Raw genomic sequence first — 14,523 nt, 5'->3', positions numbered from 1 at the left:
GTGGGTTTTCTCAGCTACACAGTTCCAACTACTGGCCTATCAGCCAAGTACTCTTGAGCATCTATTTATTCCCTGCCATGATTTTTCTCCACTTCTGATACACTCTCCCATTCTCAACAATCCTACAGGTTTCCCAAAACATACAGACAAAGACATACATTGCCTACAAAGACTTGATATCTTCAGGGTGAAAAATAAGCAGAGGCCACGTTCTAAGAATGAAAAAGCAGGCACTTCCCGAACAGCAGAGCCAAAGCACACGCGGCCAAGGAGCCCACTGGAAAGGGGAGATGAACAGGAAAACAATTTTGCATCCCAAGCTCAGGAGAATTTAACAATGCACTTCCACCCCTCCCCACACATGACAGTGGAAATGCTGGCATTAGATAATTCCAGAAAAGGGGCTGGGCGCAGTGACCCATGCCTGTAATCTCAACACTTTGGGAAGCTGAGGCAGGTGGACTGCTTTCAGTCAGAAGTTCAAGACCAGCCTGACCAACATGGTGAAACCCCATCTCTACTAAAAATACAAAAAAATAGCCAGGCATGGTGGTGCGCACCTGTAATCCCAGCTACTCAGGAGGCTGAGGCAGGAGAATCCACCCTGGAGGTGGAGGTTGCAGTGAGCCAAGATCACCCCACTGCACTCCAGCCTGGGCAACGTGACAGAGCAACACTCAGTCTCAAGAAGTAAAAAAAAAGATAATTCCAGAAAAGGAAAGTCAATCTGCTCCACAGACTTTGCAGACAGTGCTGAGGTACGGGTGGATGGCATTTTCAGGGTTTATTAGCAGGCAACTTAAAGCAGAACTATCAGGGGTTTGCTCTGCATATCGTCTTCCAACTGGAAATAACGCCAAGATTTGCAGAATAATGCTCTCAGAGATCAAGGAAATGACCTTAGGAGGTAGCATGAGGAAGGCTGACTAGGAAAAAAAAAATGACCGACAGGGACAGTAAGCCTGGACACATACTCAGAAGTCCCTGAATTTCTGTCGGTCTACAGCTGGGATTGATTCTCACTGGCTGGGATGAAAACTGTGGCCCTGCCTGAAGGCTCAGGCACAGACAGAGTGGTCATTCTGATGCCGTGAAAGGAAGCAACGCGAAGGAGAATGACATACAGGAACTTACCCAATAGTAGGGCTGATGTTGTGGTCAAAGTGATCCTGGACAAATCGACACACGATGCTTGATTTCCCAACCCCAGTGTCCTAGGAAAGAATGAGGATACAACCGTGAAGATGAAGGGCGGCAACTCACAGGTTGTGAGGTTAACTGACCTCACAGATTACCAGAGGACACGACTGGCTATTTCTGGTTGATGAGACTGGGAGAGGGAGTGGGGGGATATTTTCTTCTATTTCTCACCAATATTTTCTATAATAAAATTGTATTGCTTTCACAGAAAGAAAAGAAGTATGGTAAAAATCAGTTTCAGAAACATGTCTGACATGTATACAATATTTAACCAAAAATGAACATGTTCACTATGGATGTATTTTCAGAAATTCTGAAATCTTGGGAGGGCTCTAGAGAAGAAGTACGTGAACATACCACATTGTTTGGGCAGAAACAGAATTCATTCTGTTCAAAACCTTGCATTCAAAAGACACGTAATCTGTTTCTCTAGGCATCACCCTTTAAGACCTATTAATTCTAGTTTCTATGTTTCTAGCATTTTCTCTGTAGAATCTGATGGTTGGGTAATAACTTCCAAATTTTGCTTAATTATATAATGGTCTTGTCTCAGTTCTTTCTCTCTTAAATAATTCTTTAAAGCTGATTATGACGAGGGTCCAATTACACACTGGAAATTCAATGCACGCATTTATATCCACTCCCTTCCAAAGCCCTTGTAAAGTGGTTTAAGAAATAAAAGACACAAATTCACAAAGTCAAAGAGATAGGAGAAGAGACAACACCAGACAAGTGATATCAACAAAATCCAGGAGGACAAGCGGTCCCTGAGAATGAAGAAGCTGAAACCAAACTGCTGGCAGGGAGAGAAGCCAATAAAGAAGCAAGTCAATTCATGCCGCAGAACCTCAGGAAACATCAAGCAATGGAGGGCTGAAAACAGATCAGTTGAAAGGCCACACAACAACATACCCTTGGAGCCCCAGGCCACATAACCAGGGTCAGAGCTTTACTCTCCAGGAAGCCTGCATCGGACGGAGCTGGGCTTGGGGACATCAGGCACAGGTAAGGGAGGGGCCAGGTGCTGTTCACCCTAAGCTGGATAAGCCCACACAGAAGCAGTGAAGGCTCCCCTTTAGGTAGGAGAAAAAAAGCTCTAGAGTTCCCGATATTTGGGATCCCCTAACCAAAGGCCATGTGTGCAGCAGTTGACAAGCCCCAATACAAACAGAGCTTTCAACTTACATTTTTAACTTTTTCAATATAATCACTCACTAAGAAATACCTGACATTTATATGCTCCCCTCCACACACACACACACACAAAACAGCAGGATGTTATTTTAAAAGATCGTTGAGAATACAACCAACCTCTTAGAAATTTAAAATATGGCTAGGTGTAGTGGCTCACACCAGTAATCCTAGCACTTTGGGAGGCCAAAGCAGGATGAACACTTGAGGCCAGGAGTTCAAGGCCAGCCTGGGCAACATAGCAAGACCCCTGACTCTACAAAAAAATGTAAAAATTAGCCGGGTGTGGCGACATGGGCCTGTAGTCCCAGCTACTTGGGAGGCTGAGGCAGGAAGATGGCTTGAGCCCGGGAATTCAAGGGTGCAGTGAGCTATGATTGTGCCACTGCACTCAGCCTGGGTGACAGAGTGAGATTCTGTCTCAAAAAATATATATATTAAAAATATGATGGCAGAAATTAAAATTTCATGGAGGAGTTAGAAAATAAAGTCAGGAAGTTGCCCCAAAAGTAGAAGAAAGTAGAAAAAAGCATCTGCCCTCAATTGTTAATGGCTGCTGTTCTGAGACAGGCAGGAAGGGCAGAGGACACAGGACCCAAGGCTTTATCAACACCGATCGCCGTTGCCAACATGTTCCTACTGGAAGGATCGTGGAGGCGTTCTGAAAACTATACACAAAACGGGAACAAGTGATTTATCGAGAGAATGAAAAAATAGCTGATTCAGTTCTCTTACATTAAAGGTATAAATTTGAAAGCCAAAAGATCAAGGATGAAATGTTGAAATTCAGAGAAATGTGGTTTTCTTCAGACACTGAAATATGAAGTGGGATTTGAAATACCAGTTGGCAATCTGAATTATTTTTACTCCTTCTCAGCCCTGTGTTTGGGGGACAATTCCAGCAAACCTGGGGCAACAGGGGACTTGGCTTTTAATACTCATCAGAAAACCCCTCTCCAGAAGGTCTCGCCTCCCAAGGAGAGCAGCCTGCACTGACCCTGAGCCCTAACAAACACAGCACCAAAGCTGCTGTTTATCTGCATCGTGCAAATCGATGCACAGAGTTCAAAGAGGTGACGGCAGAATCAAAACATCAGCTCCTGAGATGCCAATTGATGCCGCTGCTATTTCTGAGCTGCACCTCAAGTATGGATTCTGGCTCATGTTCCCTCGCAGTCCCCCAAACCACAACTCTTTTCATCTCAGTTGTTCTTAAGACCCCCTGTGGAGGAGCAAATCCTTGCCAGACTGTAGCCCACGTAGCCCCCAAGAAACTGGACACTGAGGAACTGTGACAGCCTGCCCTGCCCTGCCCTTGAAGATTAGGAAATTGCCCCTTACAGCAGGCAGCACACTTTCATGAGGCCAGCTGATTCCTACAAACTGCCAAGGAGGCAGGGTGGGGACCTCTCCCCAACACCGACCACGCTCATTTCTACCTTTCTCCATCACAGTTTAGGAATTCTCCTTCTCAGGGCTATTCCATTCAATCGTTCATTCACTCATTCTTCACTCGCCCAACAGGCATTCCCCAAACCCTCCCTTTCCCATGCCAACAGCAGGCTAGACCCCATTGGCGGGGAGATACCATTCCACCCTCCCTGGCCTCCAGGAGTTCTTAAGCAGGGCCAGGCACACGGCAGGAGGACCAGCACACAGTGGTGATGGGGCTGCCCCACCTGTGGCCCCTCTGAGCTCAGGAGACAACTCCTCGATTTGCTCCTTTTTTTCATTCCTTGATACCCAGGCTTACCCTATCACCCAGTGACAAACCTCGCCTGGTTTCTGTGTGCCCCGGGGCCTTCCTCCTTAGGCTGCAGGTGCTTGCTCAGTTCCCTCACGTGCCCCTGGGGCACAGGGCTGAGGGTGCATCTTCTCGGTGGGGGCGCTGGTCTGAAAAGCACCCCTTTGGAATCTATCATTTACTCTCCCAAGGGATGTGCTCAAAACAATGGACACAAGTCTCAAAGCAGCCAACAAATCAATCCTGCAAGGCCAGCCCCAAAACGCCCTTGAAGGCGGAAAAGGGAAGAAGTCACTTGACAATGCTCAATGTTCAGCTTTACTCATCATCCTCTACAAAGGGCTCAAGCGTCAACGCCAACTTGTCTGAAGAGTTACAGCAGCAAGTCTGCTCAAATTTAGATATAAGCACTGATTTTTCAAACAACAAAGTCACTGTCTCTTTATTTTGAAACATTTTAACTCTCACCTCTTTTAGAATGCACTGTCAAATGTACATTCTTACACACTTGATAGGAAAGAAATAACAGGACGAAAGGATAGACAAAGTTTTAGTTTGTCTCAGAAAGGGAAACATTTCTGCAAAGAACACCACCATCGAATCCTCTCTGACCCGTGGCTTGGGACCGCTCAAGTGGATGCAGTTCCCGACCTCCAGGGGCGACTGCTGTTCCTCGGCTGGCCACCAGGGGCACACCCTACCCGCGGTTTGCTGAGGACAGGCCAGGAGCCAGGCTAAGGAGTCACTCCGCGCTGGGAATGCCCTTCCCCGCAGGAAACTCGCTAGGGCTGTGACACACACACAAGGAAAGTGCCAGGGTAATAGTGGCTGTCGCATGTGAAGACACAGAGGTAGGACTCAGAAAAGAGAATGAAGCCTACTGGGTGAAGAAGGAGCCTTGGAAGAGAGAGACAGGATCAGAGAGGCCTGTCTTTAGGGCCACACTGACGGAAACCCATCTATGTATATATTATTCCATTTCGTAAGATTCTGAGAATACCACAGGCCGTCTTGTCCAGTCCCCTCGTTTTGGTAAAGAGGAAACAGTGTGACTTCCTCAAGGTCACATAGCTGGTTGGTAGAGTCAGAACCAAACTCTTTTGAGTCCTAGTCAAAACCTCTTAAGGCTCTCACTAGGTTAAATCAACTTCCCTGCTAAGTGTACATTTTTCCTTTATTTTTTTAAGAGAGAGGGTCTTGCTCTGTCACCCAGGCTGGAATGCAGTGGTGCAATCATAGCTCACTGCAGCCTCGAACTCCTGAGCTCAAGTGATCCTCTCGCTTCAGCCTCTCCAGTAGCCGAGACTACAGGTGTGCACCGCCACACCCTGCTATTTTTAAATGTTAGGGGTTTTTTTGCAGAGACAAGGTCTTGCTATGTGGGGCAGGCTAACGCAAACTCCCAGGCTCAAATGATCCTCCGGCCTCAGCCTCCCAAAGTGCTGGGGTTATAGGCTTGAGTCACCACACTGGCCTAAATTTCTCAAAAAAAAAAAAAAAAAAAGTCAAATTTCTAGAACTCACAAGTACTTTACTAGTGCTTTCTGGTTTCACGTTGCATAGCTCAAGTTACTCATAGCCTGACAGGCTCTGAAGATAGCCGCTGCAGCCTTAACAGTAATGAAAGGGGCTCAAATTATTGACTGCCGGGGAGACATTAGAATAAACCCGATTCTGACTCCAGAACCTGAAATAAAGTACAGTAAAACCCTACCTGTGGGCCAGATAGTGTTTCATTGTATAATCATTTGTATAGTCGATATCAGAGACGTACTCATGCCCAGCAATTGGTTCCATCTACTTCCTGGGAAATGGATCCCTCATATGAGATTCCTCTCTGAGAACAACCACTTATTCTGAAATGACAACCCCTGCTGTTTGAATTGTCACACTTATTAATCACATGTAAATCTATAATTATGAAATCAGGAACCACAAAGTTTTGGCTGCTGCCACACAAAACGCTAGGCACCACCAATCTGTGAAAACCAAGCACTAACACTTGATTCATTCCTGGACTCCTGCAACGGCCTTCAAGCTTCCTATCCCTCCAGATTAAGAATGATACCTCCCACTACAAGGAGGAGCTGCTAACATTCCTTTTGAAACTATTCCAAACAATAGAAAAGAGGGACTCCTCCCTAACTCATTTTATGAGGCCAGCATCATCCTGATACCAAAACCTGGCAGAGACACAACAAAAAAAGAAAATTTCAGGCCCATATCCCTGATGAACACCAACGCAAAAATCCTCAATAAAATACTGGCAAACTGAATCCAGCAGCATGTCAAAAAGCTTATCCACCACAATCAAGTTGGCTTTATCCCCGGGACGCAAGGCTGGTTCAACATATGCAAATCAATAATCGTAATCCATCACATAAACAAAACCAATCACAAAAACTACATGACATGATTATCTCAATAGATGCAGAAAAGGCCTTTGATAAAATTCAACACGACTTCATGCTAAAAACTCTCAATAAACTAGGTATTGATGGAATGTATCTCAAAATAATAAGAGCTACTTATGACAAACCCACAGCCAGTATCACACTGAATGGGCAAAAGCTGGAAGCATTCCCTTTGAAAACCGGCACAAGGATGCCCTCTCTCACCACTCCTATTCAGCATAGTATTGGAAATTCTAGCCAGGGCAACCAGGCAAGAGAAAGAAAAAAAGGGTATTCAAATAGGAAAAGAAGAAGTCAAATTGTCTCTGTTTGCAGATGACATGATTGCATATTTAGAAAACCCCATTGTCTCAGCTCAAAAATCTCCTTAAGCTGATAAGCAACTTCAGCAAAGTCTCAGGATACAAAATCAATGTGCAAAAATCACAAGCATTTTTATACACCAATAATAGAGAGCCAAATCATGAATGAACTCCCATTCACAATTGCTGCAAAGAGAATAAAATGCCTAGAAATACAACTTACAAGGGATGTGAAGGACCTCTTCAAAGAGAACTACAAACCACCACTCAACGAAATAAGAGAGGACACATACAAATGGAAGAACATTCCATGCTCATGGATAGGAAGAATCAATATCGTGAAAATGGTCATACTGCCCAAAGTAATTTATAGATTCAATGCTATCCCCATCAAGCTACCAATGACTTTCTTCACAGAATTAGAAAAAATTACTTTGAATTTCATATGGAACAAAAAAAGAGCCCGTATAGCCAAGACAATCCTAAGCAAAAGGAACAAAGCTGGAGGCATCACGCTACCTGACTTCAAACTATACTACAAGTCTACAGTAACCAAAACAGCATGGTACTGGTATGAAAACAGATATATAGACCAATGGAACAGAACAGAGGCCCCAGAAATAATGCCATACATCTACAAACATCTGATCTTTGAAAAACCTTTGAAAAACAAGCAATGGGGAAAGGATTCCCTATTTAATAAATGGTGTTGGGAAAACTGGCTAGCCATATCCAGAAAACTGAAACTGGACCCCTTCCTTACACCTTATACAAAAGTTAACTCAAGATGGATTAAAGATTTAAACCTAAGACCTAAAACCCCAAAACCCTAGAAGAAACCTAGGCAATACCATTCAGGACATAGGCATGGGCAAAGACTTCATGACTAAAATACCAAAAGCGATGGCAACAAAAGCCAAAGTTGACAAATGAGAGCTAATTAAACTAAAGAGCTTCTGCACAGCAAAAGAAACTATCATCAGAGTGAACAGGCAACTTACAGAATGGGAGAAAAATTTTGCAATCTATCCATCTGACAAAGGGCTAATATCCAGAATCTACAAAGAACTTAAACAAACGTACAAGAAAAAAAAACCCCATCAAAAAGTGGGCAAAGGATATGAACAGACACTTCTCAAAAAAAGACATTTTTGTGGCCAAAAAACATATGGAAAAAAGTTCATTGTCACTGGTCATTAGAGAAATGCAAATCAAAACCACAATGAAATGCCATCTCACACCAGTTAGAATGGTGATCATTAAAAAGTCAGGAAACAACAGATGCTGAAGAGGATGTGGAGAAATAGGAATGCTTTTACACTGTTGGTGGGAGTGTAAGTTCAAACATTGTGGAAGACAGTGTGGCAATTCCTCAAGGATCTAGAGCCAGAAATACCATTTGATCCAGCAATCCCATGACTGGTTATATACACAAAGGATTATAAATCATTCTACTATAAAGACACATGCACACGTATGTTTATTGCAGCACTGTTCACAATAGCAAAGACTTGCCCATCAATGATAGACTTGATAAAGAAAATGTGGCACATGTACATCATGGAATACTATGAAGCCATAAAAAAGGATGAGTTCATGTCCTTTGCAGGGACACGGATGAAGCTGGAAACCATCATTCTCAGCAAACTAACACAGGAACAGAAAACCAAACACTGTATGTTCTCACTCATAAATGGGAGTTGAACAATGAGAACACATGGACACATGGAGGGGAGCATCACACACTGGGGCCTGTCAGGGGGCAGGGGGCTAGGGGAGGGATAGCATTAGGAGAAATACCTAATGTAGATGACGGATTGATGGGTGCAGCAAACCACCATGGCACGTGTATTCCTATGTAACAAATCTGCACGTTCTGCACATGTGTCCCAGAACTTAAAGTGTAATAATAATAATAAAAATAATAATTTTAAAAAAGAATGATACCTCCCAGGCAAATAGATCGCGACTACTTAATCCTGCTCTCATGGCAGACATCAGTAATCAATTCAAGACACATTATCTTATTGAACGTGAAAAGGGCCTTAAAATCTTTTCGACCCAGCCCTGCAGGGAATAATTGTGACTCGATCAAAGTGGGCACTGAGAAGAAAAGGCTGTCCTCTCTGGTCTCTCTTCACGACATCCACCATACTCCTACTGACTCCTTTACTACAAACTCACTAAGCACTGCTCCGCAGACTTTCAGAAATCTTCAGGTGGTGAGGTGTTTGAGTAAACTGGTAAGGGATATACATTGCTGATAACATTATAAATCAACATGATTCTTATGGACAGGAAATAACACTAACAAGACCCATCAACTCAGGGATTCCATTCCTCAGAATGTAGTTAAATAAGAAAAAAAACTAAGCACAAAAATTATGGCATACATGATAGTCTTTCAAACCTTGAGTGCATTCTTCTCAGAATGTTCAGAAAGAGAGAGAATATGATTTGCCTATAATGTACACTACAAAACTGACTCTGTGCATGACATCCCATTGGGGATCACTGATAATTCCAGCATCTCCTTCTGGTCTTGGAATCAGAGATAATCTGTATGAGAAGGATTTTTGCATTTATTTTTTGTATTCAGTCATCCATTTAGTTGAATGTTTAGACTTTAAGGCTTACATACTTCTTTTTGTTTGTTTTGGTTTGGGGTTTTGTTTGTTTGTTTTGAGACAAGATCTCACTCTGTCACCCAGGCTGGATTACAGTGGCACAACATCGGCTCACTGCAACCTACTCCTTCCAGGCTCAAGAAATCCTCCTGTCTCACCCTCCCAAGTAGCTAAGACTACAGGTGCACACCACCATGCTAGGCTAATTTTTTATTTTTATTTTGGTAGAGATGAGGTCTCACTATATTGCCCAGGCTGGTCTCAAACTCCTGGCCTCAAGCGATCCCCACCTCAGCCTCCCAAAGTGCTGAGATTACCGGTGTGAGCCATGCGCCCAGCCACATGCTTCTAAAACGTCTTCAGCATCTTCAGCATTGACAAGGAGTTAAGTTAGGGAATTCAGGAGGCCTGTACAGGGCAGCAGACCTTGTGGGCATAAAGAAATAACATAAAGAGAGAAACAGGCAGAAGTCTGCATGGTTAACAGTTTGGACTGTTCTGACTCCAAAGGTGACCAAAAGAAGTAAAGGTCCCATCAGGCACCTGGGACACCAGCATACACACCCCACCCGCCCGCCTCAGCCCACCCCGCCTGCCAGGCAGGTCCTTGTGTGGAGATGCCTGCAAGCGAAGGCAGTGCATAGTAATGAGGGCAGTGCCACGCTTGCCTGGCTCACCCACTCCGGGGGCAGATGGAGCTCGCAGATGCAGAGATGAGGTCACGCAGGAAGGCGCCTCCACATCTTGGAGCAGGAGGGTGCCTCAGCCCTGTCTGGAAAGAGTGAGAGCCCAGCTCCCGGGCCCTGGCCTTAGCAATCCAGGCCAGGGTTACTGGATGGCTACTCCTCCCCTTTCTACAGCCCCAAAACCAGGGTCAACTCAGAGCAGAAGACAAACGGGCTCAGGAAGCTCAATCCAGGAAGCACTGCACCTTCCCTTTTCGATTTCAAAGAAACCCCACAGAAATATGGCACAAATTCCATATTAACCCACAAAGCACTTTTTTGAAGCTTTGCCTAAGGGGAAGAGAATATACTCCTCCCACCCACTCTCCCCCACCCCCTACACCCGGCCCCCTACACTAGGTTTGTTACAAAGCAATCAACAGAAAACCCCAATCCTATATACCCAACAAGAGTCTCGGGTCCCCAAAGTGAAGTATTCTATCAGTTGGCTGGACCAAAGACTGGAGGTTAAAACAACGAACATCACTCCTCAAACTACCAGTGAACTCCCGGGAGAGCTCCAGTTCCTTCCTCACTTGAGTCTGTGTCTAGGCCTCCCTTTGTGTCAAAGAGATCGGAAGTACTTTGCACCTGGATCCCATTCCAGGGCTTATCAGATTACAGACTTACTGGGCCTGTTTGCTCTGGGCCCTAAATACTATGTTGGTGGTATGAAATAATTCCTCTGTACCTCAAGCACTTTTCACCAGAGGGACAATTATGCACTGAAGAGAAAAAGGTCTGATTTTTACACAGTAACCACTACCAAAAATAAGGTGCCATAAAAGCAGAAAACATTATCAAACTCAAGTCCATCCTGTGCTGTTGTTATTACCACCCATTCTATAAGATTCCTTTTGGGGTAGAGAGAGCAGATCTCACTCAAGCAGAGTAAATCTCAGTCTTCACACTCTGTTCTAGGAAAAACTGAGCTAGCAATGCAAGAAAATGCAACTCCAGGCCTGTTACTGTAGTGAGAAAACCATAACACAAAATTATTTGTGGAAAACACAGTATCAATAAAAAGCTCTGGGCAGCCGGGTGTGGTGGCTCGCACCTGTAATTCCCAGCACTTTGGGAGACCAAGGGGGTCAGATCATTTGAGGCCAGGAGTTCAAGACCAGCCTGGCCAACATGGCAAAACCCTGTCTCTACTAAAAATACAAAAATCAGACAGGCGTGGTGGCGAGAGCCTGTAATTCCAGCTACATGGGAGGCTGAGGCAAGAGAATTGCTTGAGCCCAGGAGGCGTAGGTTGCCGTGAGCCAAGATCGGCATTGCACTCCAGCCTGGGTAATGGAGCGAGACTCTGTCTCCAAAAAAAAAAGAAAGAAAGAAAGAAAGAAAAAGGTGGGTTCTGCACTGGGTCTGAGTCACTAGACTTCATTTTATCTATCTACCTCATGAGGGAAAATATTCCTTACAGAAGTAAATTTAAACTAATACATGGCATAAGTGAACTCAAGCATTTAGATTAATGCCCCGTGGACATTAATGAGCATAGCTTGGAAATGTCCACAGTTCCCTCCATGAAAGAATCAGAAGCCCACATACAGAGAATAAGGTGCCACATTTAAGATACAAAAAAATGGCCAGGAGAGATGTAAAACATCCTACCAGAGAATACGAAAAAATAAGCGGAAAGGAAGGGCATGGAAGCCACAAAAACAAGATGATTCGATGGTGCAAATGGGAGCCCGTGTACCCATGTTCACACACTTATCTCACTTGGTCCTCACAGCAGCCCTTTGTCAAGGGGAGGAGAGATGGCTTCATCCTCAATTCCCGCATAAGGAAAACATGGATTCTCCCAGTGGGCCTGTAACTAGTAAGGGCAGAGTCAAGACTCAGATTTCCCATTCCCCATATCCAGTGCACTGTTCACCAGCCAAACCATCTCTCCAGGAGGCACGCACAAATGCATGCACGAATTCATCCACTGATTCACCGTACGTGCAGTCAGCAGTATGCAAGGACAGGGGATAAAAAGATTATGTCCTGATTCCTGCAGTGAGGACACTTACAAATGAGACTTAAACTTTACAAAGGAATCAAAGGCAGGAGGTTAGGGTGACAGTGACCGAACTAATTGTACAGGCAATCCCCACTCCATCAACTGGATTGCTGATGGCTGAGTTCCAAGTGAGCATTTGTTGGCTACGCATGTGAAACTAAAATATGCGTTTTTCCATTGAACTGATGCTGTAAATAAAGAATGATTATTTCCTAAGCTTGCTGCTGAGCTACAGCACTCTACAGTGGACACCCACATTCACTGACAACATTGTTTCCATAGGAAAACTTACTCTAATTTCATATCAGATTTCAACCAGTGTGACCCCAACTCCAGGCCTTTAGTAGAAGCAGAAGCTCCAGGACTGTAAGAGCTTTGGTGAACAAAAGGCCTAGTGGATTTGGACTCTCATAAAACTGCCATCAGTGTAAATCTTCCACAGGAGCAAAGATGAGCAAAATAATAATATTGATGATGAGAAAAGCTGACATTTACTAACAATATAAAAAGTTCTAGGCACCAAGCTAAGCACTTCCTATGGAAAAGTATCAGCTATTATCTGATCTAACAATATTAGATATTGTTTCTGCTCCATTAAGTCTCTTCTATCCTACTGGAACTCCAATTATGCCTACGTTAAACTTTTTCACCATATATATATATATATATATATAATTTTTTTCTTTATTTTCTATCTCTCTGAGTTTCTCTGAATTTGGAGATTTTCTTCCAGTTCTTTCTACAGATGTATCATATATGATAACCCTATTTATTCATTTCCTAATATCAATTATTATAGTTTTCAGTTATAAATGTTTCGTTTTATTCCTTTCCTAGTTTTCGATTCCTTGATGAATTTTTAAATCTTGATTTTTATTTCCTTGAACATATTAAACATTCATCTTTTAAAGTCCATGTCTGATAATCTCATTCCTTAGATTCTCTGTGGGTCTGCTTCTATTGTCTGTTGAAAGGTTTTCATTTGAGTTGCCCTGTCTCCTCATCTCTCTGATCATGTTTGATTAGGCCTTAGCGTAAGTTTAAAGGAAGAAATTAAAGCAACTCGTCCAAGGACACATGTTACGGCCAGGACACTTTCCAGATCTTTTCAGACTCTGAGATGAAGGTTTAAAAAGAACAGATGGTCTCGGTGCCGGGACATCATCCACCCTAAAGAAACTGTTCCTAATAAGAAAATATTTGTAATATTTAAAAACACTGTCCCTTTCTGCTATTGTTAAATTTATTTTTCTCTCATTCTCGCAGAGCTGGCCTATCTGGTGGATTCCCAAGTTCAGCAATCTTTCAGCCACTGAGCATTCTGGCCTCAATGGTGGCAGCTCCCCTACCCTGCTGGTGGCAAAGGAAACTCCTGTTGCTGAGTTCTAGGAAAGCCAGGGCCACTGACGTTATCAGGAGCAAAAAACCAAAGTGCCAGAGGCTCCATGTCTCCTCTAGCCCAGCTCTTAAGGAAGCCCGCACCACCACTCTCTCCTCCTCCCCTACTCTTCAGATCAGTTAAAGAAGGAAGACGACTTTTAAATGGGGAAGAAGAGCAAGTTCCATAACTCCTTCAGTTCCGTTTTTCTTATAATAGCCCCACAGCTTCTTGGCATTTCCAGAGAGCAGTTTGTCCCGATGTACAAACTCTGTGCAGCTAAGCAGAAATAGAGAATGTGGCCTTAACTGTAAAAAAAAATAATAATTACCACAGTTTCTTACTTAAATCATACTTCCTATCCAAGGAAGCACCTGTCTTTTTGCCACCTTTCTTCACAAGCAACACATGTGTGAGCTCCTCACTGGGCAAGATGGGTCACTGATGAGTGATACAGGCACCCACCTCCTGGAGGGAGCATTCGCAGATCATATGGAATAACCTGGCTTACCAAGCAAGGCACCACGCTCCAAACTTTGGATTTTTTATTGCTACATTCTGCAATTTTTTACAAGACAATCTTTACTGTTCCTGAGTTGCATGTCTAGCAAAAAAGGATGAAGAATCATGACAATTGCAGTAGGCAGCTTCTAAAATGGCTCCCAATAATCCCCGCCTCCCAGTATTCACTCCCATATGGACTGGACCCAATGACTTGCTCCTAAGAAATGGAATGCAGCAAAAGTGGCAGATGTCACTTCCAAGGGGGAGGTTATAAAAGGTACTGGTGGCCGGGCATGGTGGCTCATACGTGTAATCCTAGCACTTTGGGAGGCCGAGGCAGGTGGATCACCTGAGCTCAGGAGTTTGAGACAACCCTGGCCAACATGGTGAAACCCCATCTCTACTAAAAATATTAAAAATTAGC

At 43.9% G+C, this 14,523-nt stretch overlaps 1 protein-coding gene across 1 annotated transcript in view, besides 1 other annotated feature; it reads right to left on the bottom strand.

Annotated features, from left to right (window-relative positions):
* Positions 1–14,523, bottom strand: part of RAB31 (RAB31, member RAS oncogene family) — a 154,251-nt gene that overhangs the window by 86,060 nt on the left and 53,668 nt on the right. The window contains exon 2 of the mRNA NM_006868.4: positions 1,135–1,214. Coding sequence (NP_006859.2) covers positions 1,135–1,214 — 80 coding nt within the window. The remainder of the gene's footprint in view (positions 1–1,134; positions 1,215–14,523) is intronic.
* Positions 5,078–5,127: an enhancer, noted in NCBI's record as "active region_13078". NCBI's record gives its function as "activates an Ori minimal core promoter by ATAC-STARR-seq in GM12878 lymphoblastoid cells {active_cell/tissue: GM12878}" and the evidence as "EXISTENCE:reporter gene assay evidence [ECO:0000049][PMID:35858748]".

The sequence above is a fragment of the Homo sapiens genome, chromosome 18 (assembly GCF_000001405.40).
Source record: "Homo sapiens chromosome 18, GRCh38.p14 Primary Assembly".
Taxonomy (NCBI): Eukaryota; Metazoa; Chordata; class Mammalia; order Primates; family Hominidae; genus Homo; species Homo sapiens.
Note: the sequence above shows the minus strand (reverse complement) of the source record. Positions and strands in the feature narration are given on the sequence as shown.